This window comes from Homo sapiens, chromosome X (assembly GCF_000001405.40).
Source record: "Homo sapiens chromosome X, GRCh38.p14 Primary Assembly".
NCBI lineage: Eukaryota > Metazoa > Chordata > Mammalia > Primates > Hominidae > Homo > Homo sapiens.
The window spans coordinates 92,807,756-92,824,917 of NC_000023.11; the positions used below are offsets into that span (position 1 = coordinate 92,807,756).

The 17,162-nt window shown below is 38.1% G+C and overlaps 3 annotated features.

The window, feature by feature from the left end:
- Positions 14,135–14,429: a silencer, noted in NCBI's record as "tiled region #5624; HepG2 Repressive non-DNase unmatched - State 24:Quies, and K562 Repressive DNase matched - State 13:Ctcf". NCBI's record gives its function as "represses a minimal TATA promoter and a strong SV40 promoter by Sharpr-MPRA in HepG2 and K562 cells {active_cell/tissue: HepG2 | K562}" and the evidence as "EXISTENCE:reporter gene assay evidence [ECO:0000049][PMID:27701403]".
- Positions 15,200–15,756: an enhancer, noted in NCBI's record as "NANOG hESC enhancer chrX:92077954-92078510 (GRCh37/hg19 assembly coordinates)". NCBI's record gives its function as "activates a minimal SCP1, AML or CMV promoter by ChIP-STARR-seq in primed H9 embryonic stem cells {active_cell/tissue: H9 hESC(primed)}" and the evidence as "EXISTENCE:reporter gene assay evidence [ECO:0000049][PMID:30033119]".
- Positions 16,596–17,162: an enhancer, noted in NCBI's record as "NANOG hESC enhancer chrX:92079350-92079916 (GRCh37/hg19 assembly coordinates)". NCBI's record gives its function as "activates a minimal SCP1, AML or CMV promoter by ChIP-STARR-seq in naive H9 embryonic stem cells {active_cell/tissue: H9 hESC(naive)}" and the evidence as "EXISTENCE:reporter gene assay evidence [ECO:0000049][PMID:30033119]".

Genomic DNA, 17,162 nt, shown 5'->3' on the forward strand with positions numbered 1-17,162 from the left:
GAAAACTCTCTGACTTCTTGAATTGCTGAAGTTCTTTCACTGGTTCTTTCTCATCGGAGAAGCTGGTGTTCCTTTATCTCTTTGAAATTGCTGTCACTTAAATGAGGTTTTTTTTTTTGCTTATATATTATACTTTCCCCTTGGTTGTTTGACTATGGTGTATAGCATCTATAGTTGATTAGTTTCATTTCTGGGTGCTTTCTGAGGGCCAAAGCTCTGTATGAGTTCCATAGTTATGATTGACTTTCTACATTGGGTTTCACAGTGTGAAATGAATTTACTTTTGTTAGTAATGTTGTTCAGGCTGTGATCCAGTAGACGGTGCTTAAGAGTAAGGGTCGGCAGATAGGCTCATATACAATAGTGTTCTGGGGAGGGAGAGATGGGGATGTGCGAGAAATAACTCCCTCCCAAGTCTGTTCCTGGGCCTTGGGGTAACCCCTTTTAATCACTGGTGCTGTGCTCATTTTCTCTTAGCTCCAAGGGGAGCCCTGGCAGCCTGCACTCCTCCTCCCTTAAGGGTGGCCAGAGCCAAAGTTTAGGTCACCAGGATTCCTGCAACTCAGGGACCCATTGGTTTTCTGAGCTTAGCAAAGACAAAGCAGGTTGTGGGGTATGTCTGCAGGTGATCTGGTGATATAGTGGGTCAAGGGTGGAGGGTCCTTGTGCAAAGGGATCCCAGTATCTAGCCTGATCAGCTAGTTTTGTCTCAAACCTTCTGCACTCAGATTGCTGGCATGTTCCAGGTGATCAGGACCATGGGGCTCCCTCAGGCAGAAACTGTGACTGGTCAACAAGCTCCACCTTTCCCTGACTGGTCTTGCAGAGGGAGGGACATTTAGCTCCCACACCAGCACATGAATCCACACCTCACTCTTCTCTGTGTTCTAAGACTTGGGGTTCCCCCCCACACTTGAACTCTAGCCAAAAATCTCAGCTCAATAACTGTGGTTGGTGTGCTCAAACCCTAGGGGGTTGAAACTAGTCCTGTGGCTTTGTCCTCTGCCCTCTTGGGGGCAAACACTGGCTGTACCAGGCTGTCGAACTGCTCTCCGGCTGCTGGCAAAACACTCAGACAGAATAGTGGAGGCTGTGCTGTGTGCATTCTCTTGTGGGAGCTGAAAGGCAGCTTGCTTTGTGATGGGCCAGTGAAAAAGGGGGGCATGCAGGTAAGTTGTGCCTTGATGCTGCAGGGAAGGCAGGCTTCCTCTCTCCCAGCCAAGAGTCAGGAGGGGCTACGCCCATTCAAAGCAAGATGGAGAACCTTTGGGGATGGGTACTTACGGTCACGTTTTGCTGCAGTTGCCCTGTGTGCCATATAATATTTTGGTTCTGTCCAAGTTTATTCCCTGCCTCTGCCTACTGTTCAGGCAGTTCCCTCTGTCAATTGAAATGTCTATGAGGGTTACAACATCTCTTGTAGCTAGGATTCCAGAGACTCACAGCAGGATTGTGATGTCACAGAGTTCCTTCATTTACCTCTTCCTTAGGGCCTGTTCAGGACCAAGAGCCTGGTCTGGTGACTCTATGTGGACTTCTCAGCTTCCTCCCTATTTAATCTTGGAGTTGTGTTGTGTCTCTGTCAACTTTCAGTGTTTTCTCTAAAAGATCGGTTTGAAGTGTAGTTGTTTACCCAAGATTTTGGTTTCTCTCAGTAAAAGAGGTGCTTTCCAGCTGCATCTAGTTGGCCATCTTGTCCCTTCCATCAAGAAATACTTTAGACAACCTAAATTTATCAATGTTTACTTGAGCAAAGCATAATTTATGAATTAGACAGCCTCCCAGACTGGAATATGTTCAGAGAATCTCCAGTGATATCTCATGGTTGAAAAATATTTGTGGATTAAGAAAGTGACATACAAGAACTGAAAGTGAGGTCCAGAAACAGCTGGATTGGATACAGCTTGGTGTTTTGCTTATTTCAACACGGGTTGAACAGTTGGTTGCCTTTGACTGGCCAAAACTCAAGGATTGGTACAAGAATAGGTGCAGTCTATTTTTAAACCCGGTTAGATTACAGTTCATTGTGTACACAGAAATCTCTAGGTTGAATTCAAAATAAGGTGGCAGATTTAGACTAAACTTAACAATTCTAAAGAGTAATCTTGAATACCTTTGTGTCAAAGCACCTCAAATTTGTAGATGACTGCTCTAGAAGAATTATTATTGAGAACAGAAGATATGATTAGGCAAATGTTTATATAGCTTATGTGACATGAAAGATTAAGCTCAGTTTCTGGAAAAAAAGCCGAATATAAAGAGTCTTATGTGAGAAACAATGTAATGAAAAGCTTGATAATACATACTGATTAGTGAGTGATGTAGGAGGATGTAAAAGTAATTTTTAAGTTTGAAGACTGAAAACTGAAAAAAGATGGGTAACCATTAAAAAAAATGAGTATGGTTCATTAGATAATGGGCTCAATGTTTTGACATATTGAGAGTGAGATCGTGATAGAACTTCAAAATGGAAATAGCCAACTATCAAATAGAAATATAAGAACAGTGTTCCAGGCCAGGCGCAGTGGCTCACGCCTGTAATCTCAGCACTTTGGGAGGCCGAGGTGGGCAGATCACGAGGTCAGGAGACCGAGACCATCCTGACTAACACGGTGAAACCCCGTCTCTACTAAAAATACAAAAAATTCGCCGGGCATGGTGGCGGGCACCTGTATTCCCAGCTACTTGGGAGGCTGAGGCAGAAGAGTGGTGTGAACCCGGGAGGCAGAGCTTACAGTAAACTGAGATCGCGCCACTGCAATCCAGCCTAAGCGACAGAGCAAGACTTTGTCTCAAAAAACAAAACAAAAAAAAGAACAGTGTTCCAGAGAAGTTTGAACTAAGTATACAAACTTCACATAGAAGTGATAATTAAGATAATGAAATTAAAAAATGATCTAAGGAGCAAAGTAAAATTAAATCAAGGGCAAAGCCTTATATTAAGGAGCAGCAGGAAAAAGGAGTTGTTAGAAAAGCAACAATAAGCCTAGTTGAAAAGATGAGAGGAAAAACAAGATAATAAAAGGTCACAAACTATAAAGTTTAAGAATATTTCAATAAAAAAGGGATCATTAGTCAACTACTGCAGGGAAATAAATTTTAATGACAACTACAAAATTAGTTTTATCATTTGGAAATCATTTCAAAGAATAGTCTTAATAATGAGAAAGAGAAAGACATCAGATTACAATTAAATAAACATCAGATCGAGGTTGCCAAAATAAAGGAAATAATTGTATAAAGTTTTAAAAAATGTTACACAAACGAGAAGCCAGAGGTAGGCAGAACTTGATGTTTAAGGCTGCTTCTTAAGAGCAGGACTAAGAGCGTGGTAGTAAAGTTGATTGTTCCACCCACTGAAATCTCAATAACAATTTGGAAATAGTTGGTCCTGAGATTACTCAGACAGAAGGATCTCAATTGTAAGAGATTTAAGGAGTGGTCAGCCCTTCTTTAGAATCTTTTTTTTTTTTTTTTCAGGAAAATAAAAAGATTAAATCCTGAGTCCCCAGCCCAGCCCCAAGACTGAACTACTGAGCAATTCTCCAGCTCCAGTGAAGATAGGGTATAAGTAAGTCAAAAACAAAAAACAAAAAACAGCAGGGTGACCAGTAGGTGAACAAGAGATGTGGCAGGACTCTAGTCCTGGAATAAAAACTAGACAGAAAGAATAACCTGTCAAAATTAAGAAATATAAACTAAGACAAAAACCCACATCTGGTGAACGAAATGTTAGGGCTCAGAAGTCAATACTCCAAAATATGGTACATTGAGGTTCTGAAGAAACTTCGATGTCTCTATGATTTTCTTCCCCCGCATACTCTCTCTCCCAAATCCTTCAGATTTTTTTTTTCTTAAGATCCAGATCCACCAAGGAGAACATTTTTTCTTCCTTCTCTATAAAGCCAAGAGTATAATTACATCTTAACAAACCCTTTCACAAGATAATGTACAAGTTATTTGTTCCCTGATCTAATTATTCTTCCTAGTGATCCCCTTAACAGATTCTCTTCTCCCACCTTTCATAACCTTTCTTTCCAGGATGGTATATAAGTTCCTGAACTCCACTGGAGAGTGGGAAATCACTCTGTGATGCTCCCCATCTGCACAATAAATGTGAATGCCTTTTCTCCTATTAATCTACCTTATGTCAGTGATTTTCAGCAAACATTCAGAAAGCAAGAGGAAAGTCTCTCTTGGCCTCTATGAAACTAACGTGCAGATGCACAGTATATCTGTGAATCCAGGGAAGCACGTTCTGAAGGGTCTCTCTCCAGTGAAGCAGATTCTAGACTCTCTGGCAGCAAGACTTTTGGGGGAACTCAATATATAGCTATTACTACCCATGTCACTAGAATTAGAGCTACAGTCTTTGCTGTAATGTATATATCATTTTGGATCAGCTAAGGACCAAGTTTTCAACTCATAGGTGTCCAGGTGGAAACAGCTGGCAAGGCAGAGGCTGAGAAATCAAGGCATGTCTTGACAGATGGGGTAAAGTTTTTATTTTGTTTTCCCAAAGATAATTAGAACATATGTATAACAGAAATGAAAAAAAAAAAAACAGTTGAGTAGAAGACATTAAATATGTAAGAGAAAGGACAAAATTTGTGGAGGGAAGTAATGAATTGAGTTGAGAAAATAAGCTGGTAGTTTCTTTTTCCTTAACAGAATAAAAGTTATTTATACAGTGAAGAAATGTTAATTTTTTTTAAAATCAGGTACCAGTCTAGGTGCATATTATAGATTGGTAATCAGTAAATACAAGGATATGACTTTATGAAGCTTAAAATCTAGTAGAGGAGACAGAAATATATATATATGTAATGTATATATATTACATATATATACACTTAATTATTTATAACATTACTAAATCTTGCCCCAATACTAGCTCAGCACTTTAGCCCTCCATTTTGAACCAAGAGGAAATTCTCTAGAGCTAAGTTAATGTAGCTTAATAGAGCAAAGCAAGGCATTGAAAATGACTAGATTAGTTTATGTGACTCATAAACATAAAGTATATATAGATGGTGATATATATATATATAGTGATAAGACTTCTGTAGAAAAGAACTGAATGTTGTGAAAAAGAATTTGGAAAAGGGGAGAGATTAGACAGCCAATTTAGATCAGGTTGTAAAGGAAGACCAGCTTTAAGAGGTTTCATTGGAGCTAAGATCTTAATAAGTTGGCTGAATAAGGTGCTGACCAGCTGGAAAAGCCTTTCAAGTAGAAATAACAGGAAAATAAAACGCTCAGAAGAGGTAATAAATTTAGCATATGGAGGGTCATAAAGTGGCTGGAGCATATCGTGTGAGGGAGAAAGTAGCAGAAAGTATGGGGGAGTCAGTAAAGGTTCAGATCATGCAGGGTTTTACAGGTTTTAATAAAGAGTTTGAATATTAAATTCTAAGTGTAAAGGGAGAAGACACTGGAGGATTTGAATGAGACAGTGAAATTTTCTAATTTACATTTTTAAAAGATTATTCTCATTTCTGTATGAACAGCAAAATTAGGTGGAGAGGGGAACTGGGTGCAAAAAAACAAAAACAAAAACAAAAACAAAAACAAACAAAAAAGATAAGGCTATTTTAATATTCAGCCAAGAGATGGGGGTGGCCTATCCTAGGCTGGTGATGGTGGGGAGAAAGAGAAATGGAGAAGTGGGATATTCTTTGTAAGTAGAAATTTCAAAACTTTGATGAATTAGATGTGTGTGAAGACTGGAAGAAAGATGTCCAAAAAGAAATTAGATTTCTAGTTCAGGCATTTACTTGATGTCTTGATTATGTTAAATAATAGGGTTAAAACGGAAAACCAATGTAATCAATGTAATCAATGGCAGATGGGAATCAAGTGATAGAAATGACAATTTATTTAATCTACTGATATATGATGAGGTTAAAATTGAGTAGTAGATTAGAATGACCTATGCTTGGGTCATTTTCTATTTATCATTATTCAAACATAACTAAAAAATAATGCATATAAAATAGAGGATTCTAGTTTTGGATTTTTGTCATGAATCAAAATTGAAACTGTTGAAACTCAATTGTGTTGAAGTAGGTAGGCAGATTTTAAAATACTATCTACTATAGAAATTCTTAAAATGCAAACCTACTTTATTAAATGGATTTAAACACCATGTTGCCTGCCATAAGATTGTTTGGAAAGACTAAATGATTTAATTGGAAGCATCAATTAAAATAAAACATATTACTTTATATGTTAAACACTATATATATATGTACAGAATTTAAGGATTTGACCTAGTTTTTCTCCAGAGGGTCACGTTTTTGTTACAACAAGAACATGTCTCTAAGCACCATCTTTACAATACAAAAGAACCATCTTTTACAAAAATTTTGATTAACTGTGGCATTTCCTTTCTGCTGTGAAGAAAGCTGGCTACTGAATAAATTGTGAAGTACCAAAACCTCACCTTACAAATTTCTCTAATCCATTTAACTTCTTTCTTTCTACACATTTCCTGGGAATTTAATATTCTATTTATCCCTCTGGCTCTTCTTCCTCTATAGCAATTGTGGCATCCTATGCAAGACTTACATCCTCTGCACTCCTATGTTACGAATATTTTCTTTTCTATATGACCTAAAGATGATATAACCAAGCAATTCTACTTCTAGGTATATGCTCAAAAGGTTTACATACTGGTACTCAAAAAATTACTTGTACACAAATACTCATAGTAGCATTATTCAAAATAGACAAAAGTTAAAAACAACCTGAATGTCCACGGGCAGTTAATGAATAAACAAATTGTGATATATATGAAAATATCCAACCATAAAAAGGAATGAAACAGTGATACATTATATAACCTGAAAAACATTTATGCTAAGTGAAATACGCCAGACAGAATAGATCACATACTGTATGATTTTATTTACTTCTTCACACCCCTATCAAAACTGATTCATAGATGACATGATTCTATGTATGGAAAATCCCACAGGATCCACCAAAACCTAATAGACCTAATAATGAATTTAGCAAAGCCTCTGGGTAAAAACCAACATATAAAAATCAGCTGTCTTTTTATACACTAATAATAAACAATCTGAAAAGGAAATAATGGAAATAATTCCATCTATAATAGTGTCCAAAAAAGTTAAGTATTTAGGAATAAATTCAACCAAATATGTGAACAGCGCATACACTGAAAACTACAAAACATTACTTTAATAAACTAAAGAATACATAAATAAATGGAAAGACATTTCATGTTTATGGATTAGAAGACTTACTTTTGTTAAAACGGCAATGCTAACTTCAAGCAATCTATAGACTCAATGCAATCATAAAAAGTCTAAGAGCCTTTCTGCAGAAATGGAAAACACAATTCTTGAATTCATATGAAATTGCAAAGAGCCTTGAATATTAAAACAAACACTCACAAAGTAGAGGAACGAAGTTGAAGGACTATTATTTTCACATTTTATAACTTACTACAAAACTACAGTAATTAAACAGTATGGTCCTAGCATAAGAACAGACATATGCACTGATGGAACAGGATTGAGAGTCCAGGAATAATCACATGTATGTATGGTCAATTGATTTTCAACAAGGATGCCAAGATCATTCAATAGGTAAAGAATAGTTTCCTCCAAAAAATGGTGCTGTGACAAATTGATATTCACATACAAAATAATAAAGTTGCAGCTTTATACAAAATTATACAAAAATATACAAATTATGTATATATACATATACAAAAATGTACTTAAAATTGTATCAAAGACTTAATGATAAGAGCTAAACTCTAAAGCTCTTAGGAAAAAAAGGGTTTTCCTGACCTTCATGACCTTGGATTTGGCAACGGATTCTGAGATCTGACATCAAGAGTACAACCAACAAAAGAAAAAATAGATAAATTGGAGTTTGTTAAAATTAAAACGTTTTTCATGTTAAAGGACATTATCCAGGAAGAGAAAGACAACTTACGGAATGGGAGAAAATATTTGCAAATCACATATCTGATAAGAATCTAGTATCCAGATTTTATAAAGAACGCCTTCTACTCAATAACAAAATGAAAAACACTCCCATTCAACTCTTAGAAGTCTTTAACAACAACAACAACATGGACTTGAATTGATGTTCCTCTAGAGATGTGCAAATGACACTTGAAAAGATGCTAAACATTATTAGTCATTAGGTCAATGCAAACCAAAATCACAGTGAGATACCACTTCACTCCCACTTACACGGCAATTTTTAAAAATCAGAAAAATAACTAGCATTGTCAAGGATACGGAGAAATTGCAAGCCTTTTACGTTACTTATGAGAAGGTAAAATTGGTCAGTTGCTGTAGAAAATGTTGACAGTTCTGATACAGGAGATAGAAATTATTTAGGCAGATAGTGAGAGCAAAAGATTCTTTGGCAGAACTTCCCTTCTAACAAAAAGCAACCCGAGAAATCATTTTATTTCTAACAAAGAGCAGCCTGAAATACTGAACTGCAAATATAGATAAGGAAGCTCGAAGTTTGCACGGGGAAATGCCAGCAGCTACGCCAATAGAAAAGGGCTACCTGGGGGCCAGGCATGTCCACCCTGGAAGCTCCGTTTTCTTTTTTTTTTCGTTAGCACTTGTACAGTAAGAAAGAAATGGGCAACATGGAGCAGCTCAGGTAGAAAACCCACCCGAATAATACAGAGATTCATGCCATATGCAGATGGCAAACCTGGTTCTGTTTTATCGTGCCCTGTGTAGATCAGACACCATCTCCCCACCAGCTCATCTATAAAAGCTCCTTCATTTCACTGCAGGTCAGCAACCCATTTTTCTGGGACCCCTCTCTATAACAGAAAGCAATTATCTTTCTTTCACCTATCCAATTTCCCCTTTAACTTCACTATTTGTGTATCCACATCCTTGATATCTGTGGCTGAGACAAGAAACCTCGGGTGTCACCCCAGACAACAAGGCCACTTCATTGTGGGGGATCACCTGAGACCCAAGGTAGATTCATAAAAAGAAAGAGTATAGGAGCAGTTCTTTAAAAAGTTAAACATAGAATTACCATATAATCCAGCAATTCCACTTCAAGGTATACACTCAAAAGAATAGAATACTAGTACTAAAAGAAATACTTGCACACAAATATTCATAGTAGCACTAGTCACAATTGACAAAAGCTGGACACACCCAAATGTCTATAAATAGCTTAATGGACAAATAAATGGTGTTATATACATAAAATGGAAAATATTTAGCTATAAAAAGGAATAAAGTACCTATATATGCTATAACCTGAAAAATGTTTTTTGTTAAGACACAAAAGGTCATATATTGTATGATCCAATTTATATATAATTTGTGAATAGGCAAATTCACAGAAATGAAAAGTAGATTGATGGTTTTCAAAGGCTAGGGGAAAGTGAGAGTGGAGAATAACTGCTTACTGAGTATGTGATATTATTTTGGGGTGATGAAAATGTTTAGAACTAGAAAGAGGTGATTGCACAACATTGTTAATATAATTAACGGTACTGAATTATTTATTTTTAAACAGCTAATTTTATTGTATGAGAAATTTGCCTCAATTGAAAATAACTGGCTGTGTCTCATTTTTTAAAATCTAACAAATCTGAAGTTTACATTTAATGGCTTAATGTTCTACTCCCTGTTGGATAATATATGCAATCTGATAGAGGGAGGTAATAATGCTTTAACACAAAGAATTGGTTAATGGTGAACATTTCTGGCAGGGCAAGTTAGATAAATATGGGTTATGGAGGTAGTCAAACCTCAATTAATTCAAGTGTAAATGTGTTTTTTCTTACAGAACAATTTTTGCACATTGGTAATAGTGCTACTTCATGATTTTTGCATTTTTATGATTCAAATTTTAAAATCCTAATTATATATATAGTTAAAATGTAGTGCTCAGATGAGGCTTATTGAACAATTAGGGCTTTATTTCTGAAAGCATGTGGTCTTAAGTGCTAGTACTTTTGAATCCCATGTCTTTAGAAATATTATTATGTATACATGTTTTTAAATGATTTGTCTTTTGCAGTAGGAGAGCACCTTGTGTCACCAGTGGAGACTGTCCAGGTTCTTGGCACCTTGAATAAAGAATTGGACAAACCACACAAAGCAAGGAAGGAATGAAGGGGTTTATTGAAAATAAATGTACACTCCACAGTGTGGGAGCGGGCTCAAGCATAGGGGATCAAGGGCCCCATTACAGTATTTTGGGGAGTTGCAACACCTTCTAGAGGATTCCATCGGTTACTTCGGGTATGCCCTTTGTAAATGGAGAGGATGAAGTAAAGTTACAAAGTCATTTACTTGGCCTACGCCCTATGGAGAGGATATTTCTTGTCATAGCTGAAGTGTGAATCGGCCTTATGTTCCCTGCCTCCAGACCCTATTTTCCTGCCTCATCTGCCCCGAGAGATGTGATCCTCATACATTTTTATGGGAGGCACAGGGACCAATGGTCTTTTTTCTGTAACTGCTTTATGCTGGCTTGAGGCACAGTCCCTACCTACTGGGGATCACAAAACTGTCATTCTGCTGTGTCTAGTGGAGGCAAGGTAGCTCCTTGATGGCCAGGGGTGGTGTCTTCACTTGGAACTGGCTGGACCCTTTGTTGCATGATCATCTAAAGCTTGATGCTTTCTAGGTGAGAGGAAATGAATTTGGTTAAAAGATTTAATGGGAACTTCATGGGGTGGATACTTCTGCTGTCAGGAATGTTTGTTATAGAGAATTGCAAGAGAAAAAACAAAACCTGGTTTGTTCTAGAATCTATGTGTTTCCTTAAAGTCTTAGCACAAGTCACTCCATTTGGTTTGGTTTGGACTGTTGGGGCCTAGTGCATGAGATTACTTCAAAACAATGGCCTCCCAGAATTTTGTTTAAAAAATTCCACCTTTTTGGTTAGGTTCTCAATTAGGTGAGAGTTTAACCAAAACTTAGGGCCTTAGCACCACTTAGTCAACATCATTTTGGGTTTCTGGTTTCAGCACATTAGGTTATGGTGTCCTCATGGTTGCACATTTCTTTCAGCTCCTGTTATTCCAGCTTAAGAGAGACCATACGACATTCTAGAGATGGTTGCATGCAAGCATTTAAAACCTTTGAGATAATACAGCGCACCAGGGACACTATTATTATGACTATTGGGAGGATAATACCAACAGTTTGGAGTATGCTCCTTACCCAATGTCCCCATAAACCAAACTTCCTAAAATCAAATAGATCAAAGACTGACTTAACTAAGCAGTTTCTTCATTAATCCACTACCACTGAATTTCTATAATTCTCATTTGATGTATTCCTTTATAGGTCACAAGTGCCAGAAGCTGCACAGATACTTTTCTGTTCAGCCAATCCCATTATAAGTTTCACAAAAGAATTTAAAGTCTTGTGAAATTGTAGCCTTTACAGTATTATTTGCTATAGAGCCTATCATGGGGGATACATTTCTAGTTATTGCCTCTTTTACTACGGAAAAAGGAAGTAACAAACGATGCCCTTCTAGAAGAATGAAGCCCTCCTGGCAATGCTCTTTTTAACCCCTGATGTGGGTCAACAGGGGTGAACCAATGTTTTATTTTTGACTGATTATGAGGCAACACATGTACCATTAAAGTTTCGTACCTATGTTGGGTCTTTATCTTTGATTTGTCATAGTATAAGTTTATCCATGTTTAAGGCTGGCTGCAAACCCCTTCCCAAATAAAAATATACCCCATAAGTGGCCATAACAGACCCCTTTTTCACTTCTATTCCTCATAGAGGCAGAAGCAAGGAAAAAATATTCAAAGATAAGAGCTTCATGATAGTAGAAGTCTTAATCTGTAAACTTGGGAAAAGCTGTTTACATAAAGGATGCCATCTTTTTCTTGGGAGAAATTTCCCTGGTTAGTTTTATCTTAAGGGTTCCAAAGGGTGTACAGCTCCAAGAGTGTGGAGGGACCCTTCTCAACTGCAAGACCATGAACCCAAAGCCCAGGGTCCCAAAGTTTTGTTGTAGTGTGTGTAGCAAGGACAGTTTTTTCCTGATGTTTCCAGAATATCCAAACCATAAAAGCTTTCTTTACCTGATGAAAATACACTGTAGCATAATAATCTTCTCTTATAACATCAGCCCTCTTGCATGGGAAAGCTTTTATACAACCAGAAAAGATGCATTAAAAGTAACAATTGAATGAAATCCCTTTATAAAGTGTTTAAATGGCCTACCAGGTAACCAAGTGTACCTGCAGCTTTAATTGTTTTTCCAGAAATATGGGGCCAAACATTGGCTATAAACTATTCTAGTAATTTGTAAGATACCACACCTATGTATTCAATTTTATTTTATATTTTTCATGATGAATTATGGAATGCAGAACTTTTAATAATAAAAGCTTTAAGGGCTCAGGAAGGACAAGAAGGCCATCCTGGTTCTCCACGAACCCATGCTTAATTAACATTAGACTTATATCCTCTTGAATACCAGTTGTATTTCCAAATTTGGTGCATAGCACTGACAAGGAAATTCGGTTATTTCTGTGATTTACAATAACTTAACATAATAACCATAATTATAATTGACAGTATATATTCAGATATTAGAATTTTAGCAATCTCCTACAATTTTGGAACATATATTAGTATTAGTCACAAAAATATAACCCAAACAATATTAAGCATCATTTTGACAATCTCGTGTAACTAAACACGTTAAATAATCCTGTTTATCTCCTTTCTGGATGTTTTAAGGGGCCCTCTGATTCATCCTAAAAGCCAGCCACCAAGAAAGACAATTTTGGAACTGAAGTTTGATTTTGGAATTTCAGATTACCATAAATTATTTATTTTGCCAAAACGATGACTTAGGGATTTAAATAAGTAAAAACTTTTTTATAATCTTTAACCCCCCACGAAAAAATCCAAATTCTACTGTTTTTACACATTTTGCATGTAAAGCTGTGTCTAGTAGTGTTAATTGCATGTTACAATGGCAAATTTTAACGTAAATCCTGGTAAGTTGTGTTCTGATAAGGTTTGACTATCTCCAGCACAGCTAGGAATGTGGCCAACTCCACATGTCCCCAGGCCTTACCTAGCTGGAAAGCAGACAAGTTAAACAATTTTCAAAAGCCAAACAAGCAGCTTATGACCTTAACGCATTTAGCAAACCTAACATTTGAACATAATTTAGACCACATGTTTACATTATGAAGACATTTGTATTTTACCAATAATCTTTAAAACTATCTTTATTTCCCAAAGATCACTCAAGTTACATGAACTAAATAAAAGGCATTATATTTTTCACTTTTCTGACAAAATATTTAAGATCTTATTATTAAGCCAATTAATTTAAAACTTTACAGAGGAAATAAACAGTGACTTTTACTTTATGTTAGGCAAAGAGAGAAATTTGACTTAAATTGTATCTAGGAGAGTATACTCAGCACACTTAAAGTATCAGGAAGCCTAAAATCCAAAAAGTTAGTTTAAGGTTAAAAGGCTGGTGTGCTCTATCAATTCCTCTCGGCCCATCAAAGGTAGCCTAGGAATTCCAAATAAGTGGAAGAAATGATGACTTGCTAGAAATGCATAGGAAACAAAATAACTATTCACAGAAACAAAAGCCTTCCACTAGAAACTAAAACAAAAATGGTTTTTTTATATATGCAAACACAAGCAAAGCCAGAGAAGAATAAACAGTGAACAAATGAAAACTAGAAGTAAACCATCTGGGAAGTGAGGAGCGCCTCTGCCCGGCCCCCACACCGTGTAGGAAGTGAGGAGGCCTCTGCCCGGGCCGCAATGTCTGGGAAGCTAGGAGCGCCTCTGCCCAGCGGCCTCACCATCTGAGAAGTGAGGAGCGCCTCTACCCAGACGCCCCACCATCTGGGAAGTGAGGAGCCTCTCTGCCCGACTGCCCCACTGTCTGGGAAGTGGGGAGCACATCTGCCCGGCCGTCCCACCATCTGGGAAGTGAGGTGAGCCTCTGCCCGGCCGCCGCCCCGACTGGGACGTGAGGAGCACCTCTGCCTGGATGCCCTACCGTCTGTGAAGTGAGGAGCGCCTCTGTTTGGCTGCCCAACGGTCTGTGAAGTGAGGAGTGCCTCTGCCTGGCTGCCACACCTTCTGGGAAGTGAGGAGCACCTCTGCCCTGCGGCGGTCCTGCCTGGGAAGTGAGATGCGCCTCTGCCTGGCGGCCGCACTTGACTAATGCCTCTGCACCACTGCGCCACCGTCTGGAAAGTAAGGAGCGCCTCTCCCTGGCCGCCCCACCGTCTGAGAAGTGAGGAGCGCCGTTGCCCGGCCGCCGCTGTGCAACCCTCCAAGTATGAAGTGGCAGTCATGTGTGTGATCTTTATGCCCTCCCCAAGTTTGCATTTTTGACATTAAAGTTTACTTTTAAATTAAAAAGAGAAAGACAACTAGAAGCAAAAACAAACAGAAAACCAACCCTAAATTTTCCCACTTAATTTACCCTGGAGGCTACAGTGTTACCTAGGGCCAAAAAAACCCCACATAATGAATGTTTTATTCCTGATACACAATTCAATATCCTTAAGCTCACTAATATTATCATATGTCTTTTGCAATCAATAAATTTACCTTAGGCACATGACTGATCAGTACTCCAGTGCCAGCGCTGTCCATGCAACACAATAAACATAGTGTGAAGCAATGCAAGCATGTATGTGAAATTTGGCTCCACATTAAATCCAGCTTCATGCTTAACTATGTAAAAAAGGAATAGCCAAACTGCCGATGCATTTCTTTACAATTCTTCTTATTTAACTTTAATCAAGACTAAGAGCTTTAACTATGAAAATGTTAATTAGCCAAATGTCTTCAATTATCAGGTTTTAAGAAATATTTTATTATTGAAACTTTTTTCACATCTTTCTCCCCTATTTAATGATTCCTTACTGCATTGTTTTATAAATAACCTTTTCGAATCTGTAATTTAAACTAACTTTTAGATAACTTCTGAATTAGACAAAAGTATTCTTTTTTCCACTAATAACATAACCTTTCTGGCACATTTTGTATACAGAATTACCAGTTAACTAAATTTTTTATCTTTGGTAACCTAAAGCTTTAATGAAACCCTAAAAAGCAAGAAATCCTGAGCTATCAGATATGGGCATTTATAGATAAAAACAATTCCACAATTTTAGAAACATATTTCCCAATATCACAACCCTTTCTTAATTGGAAATGACCCAAATATTAAGTGAGCATTAAAATAAGTTTAAGATTTTAATTTACAAAAAAAGTTTATCTAAAACATTTATCCCATTCACTGTACTTAATTTTTACTTTTAAGGAGGGAGACACAAGACATCAATCGGCATATGTAAAATGAACATCACATTGGTCTGGAAAGGCAGGAGAACTTGAGGCAGGTTGGGGGATTGGGGGCTTTCAGATTCAGGTAGTTGGAAGACAAAAAGTTGCATTCTTTTGAGTTTCTGATTAGCCTTTCCAAAGGAAGCAATCAGATCTGCACTCATCTCAGTGAGACTTTGAATAGAATGGGAGGCAGGCTTGCCCCAAGCAACTCCCAGCTTGAATTAACAATGACATTTTAAAATATCTAGCGAAGACAAACATAAAATTCAGACAAAATGTATGCTGACAATTCTAAAGGCATTTCTATTTTTATTCCACCAATAATTTTAAAGCTGTCTTGTTTAGTAAAGTTATACTTTAAGTCATGTGAACTTGAAAATAGCTTAGACTTACTTAATTTATGAGTGCTCATTTACTTACAAGCCAATTTGGTAGACACAACATATAACAATAAGTGTACATACAAATAAACACATCTAAACATATATATACACACATAAACAAAGATCTAATAGCTTGGGACCTTAGCCATGAGACAGCAATACAATACTTCGCCAGTTTTACTTTGCCCCAATAGATAATCCATTGAAGGCTGTGAATCAAAATTTCAGATAAAGCAGTCTCCATGGCAGTTTGATTTTTTTTCTTTCTTTTTTTTTTTTTTGGAGACAGAGTCTCGCTCTGTTGCCCAGAATGGAGTGTAGTGGCGCGATCTCTGCTCACTGCAACCTCCGCCTCCCGGGTTCAAGTGATTTTCCTACCTCTGCCTCCTGAGTAGCTGGATTACAGGCGTGTGCCACCGTGCCCAGGTAATTTTTTGTATTTTTTTAGTAGAGATGGGGTTTCACTATGTTGGTCAGGCTGGTCTCGAACTCCTGACCTCGTGATCTGCCTGCCTCAGCCTCCCAAAGTGCTGGGATTACAGGTGTGGACGCCACGCCCAGCAGGTAGTTTGATTTTTAAAGGCCAAACCTCCCCAGACTCCAAAAAGCACTGAGGCCAAACAGTACCAAAGGAGGGCATCACATATTAAACAGGCCTTCTGCTTAGAACAGCAGCACAAAAGCCTGGATACATGCAACACCATCCCACTTTCTGATTAGACAGCAAAGTTCAGATTCTGAACAATTTTGGAGCCAAGCATCATTGCAAGTGAGAGAGAAAATTCTAAAGAGGGCTTAATACTAGACCTCAGAACCTCTGCAGAGTGTCGCTTTGGGCAGGTTGAGGTCTGCAGGATTACCTGGAGCATTCTCCAGATGTCTCTGCCCTTAGGTGGGCACCGGTGCCACTTTGCATGTGTTCCCTCCGGAGCCTACTGTCAGGCCTCTGAGCCCAAGCCAAGCCATTGCATCCCCTGTGACTTGCACGTATACGCCCAGATGGCCTGAAGTAACTGAAGAATCACAAAGGAAGTGAATATGCCCTGCCCCACCTTAACTGATGATATTCCACCACAAAAGAAGTGTAAATGGCCGGTCCTTGCTTTAAGTGATGACATTACCTTGTGAAAGTCCTTTTCCTGGCTCATCCTGGCTCAAAAAGCACCCCCACTGAGCACCTTGTGACCCCCCCACTCCTGCCCGCCAGAGAACAAACCCCCTTTGACTGTAATTTTCCTTTACCTACCCAAATCCTATAAAACGGCCCCACCCTTATCTCCCTTTGCTGACTCTCTTTTTGGACTCAGCCCACCTGCACCCAGGTGAAATAAACAGCCATGTTGCTCACACAAAGCCTGTTTGGTGGTCTCTTCACACGGACACGCATGAAATTTGGTGCCGTGACTCGGATCGGGGGACCTCCCTT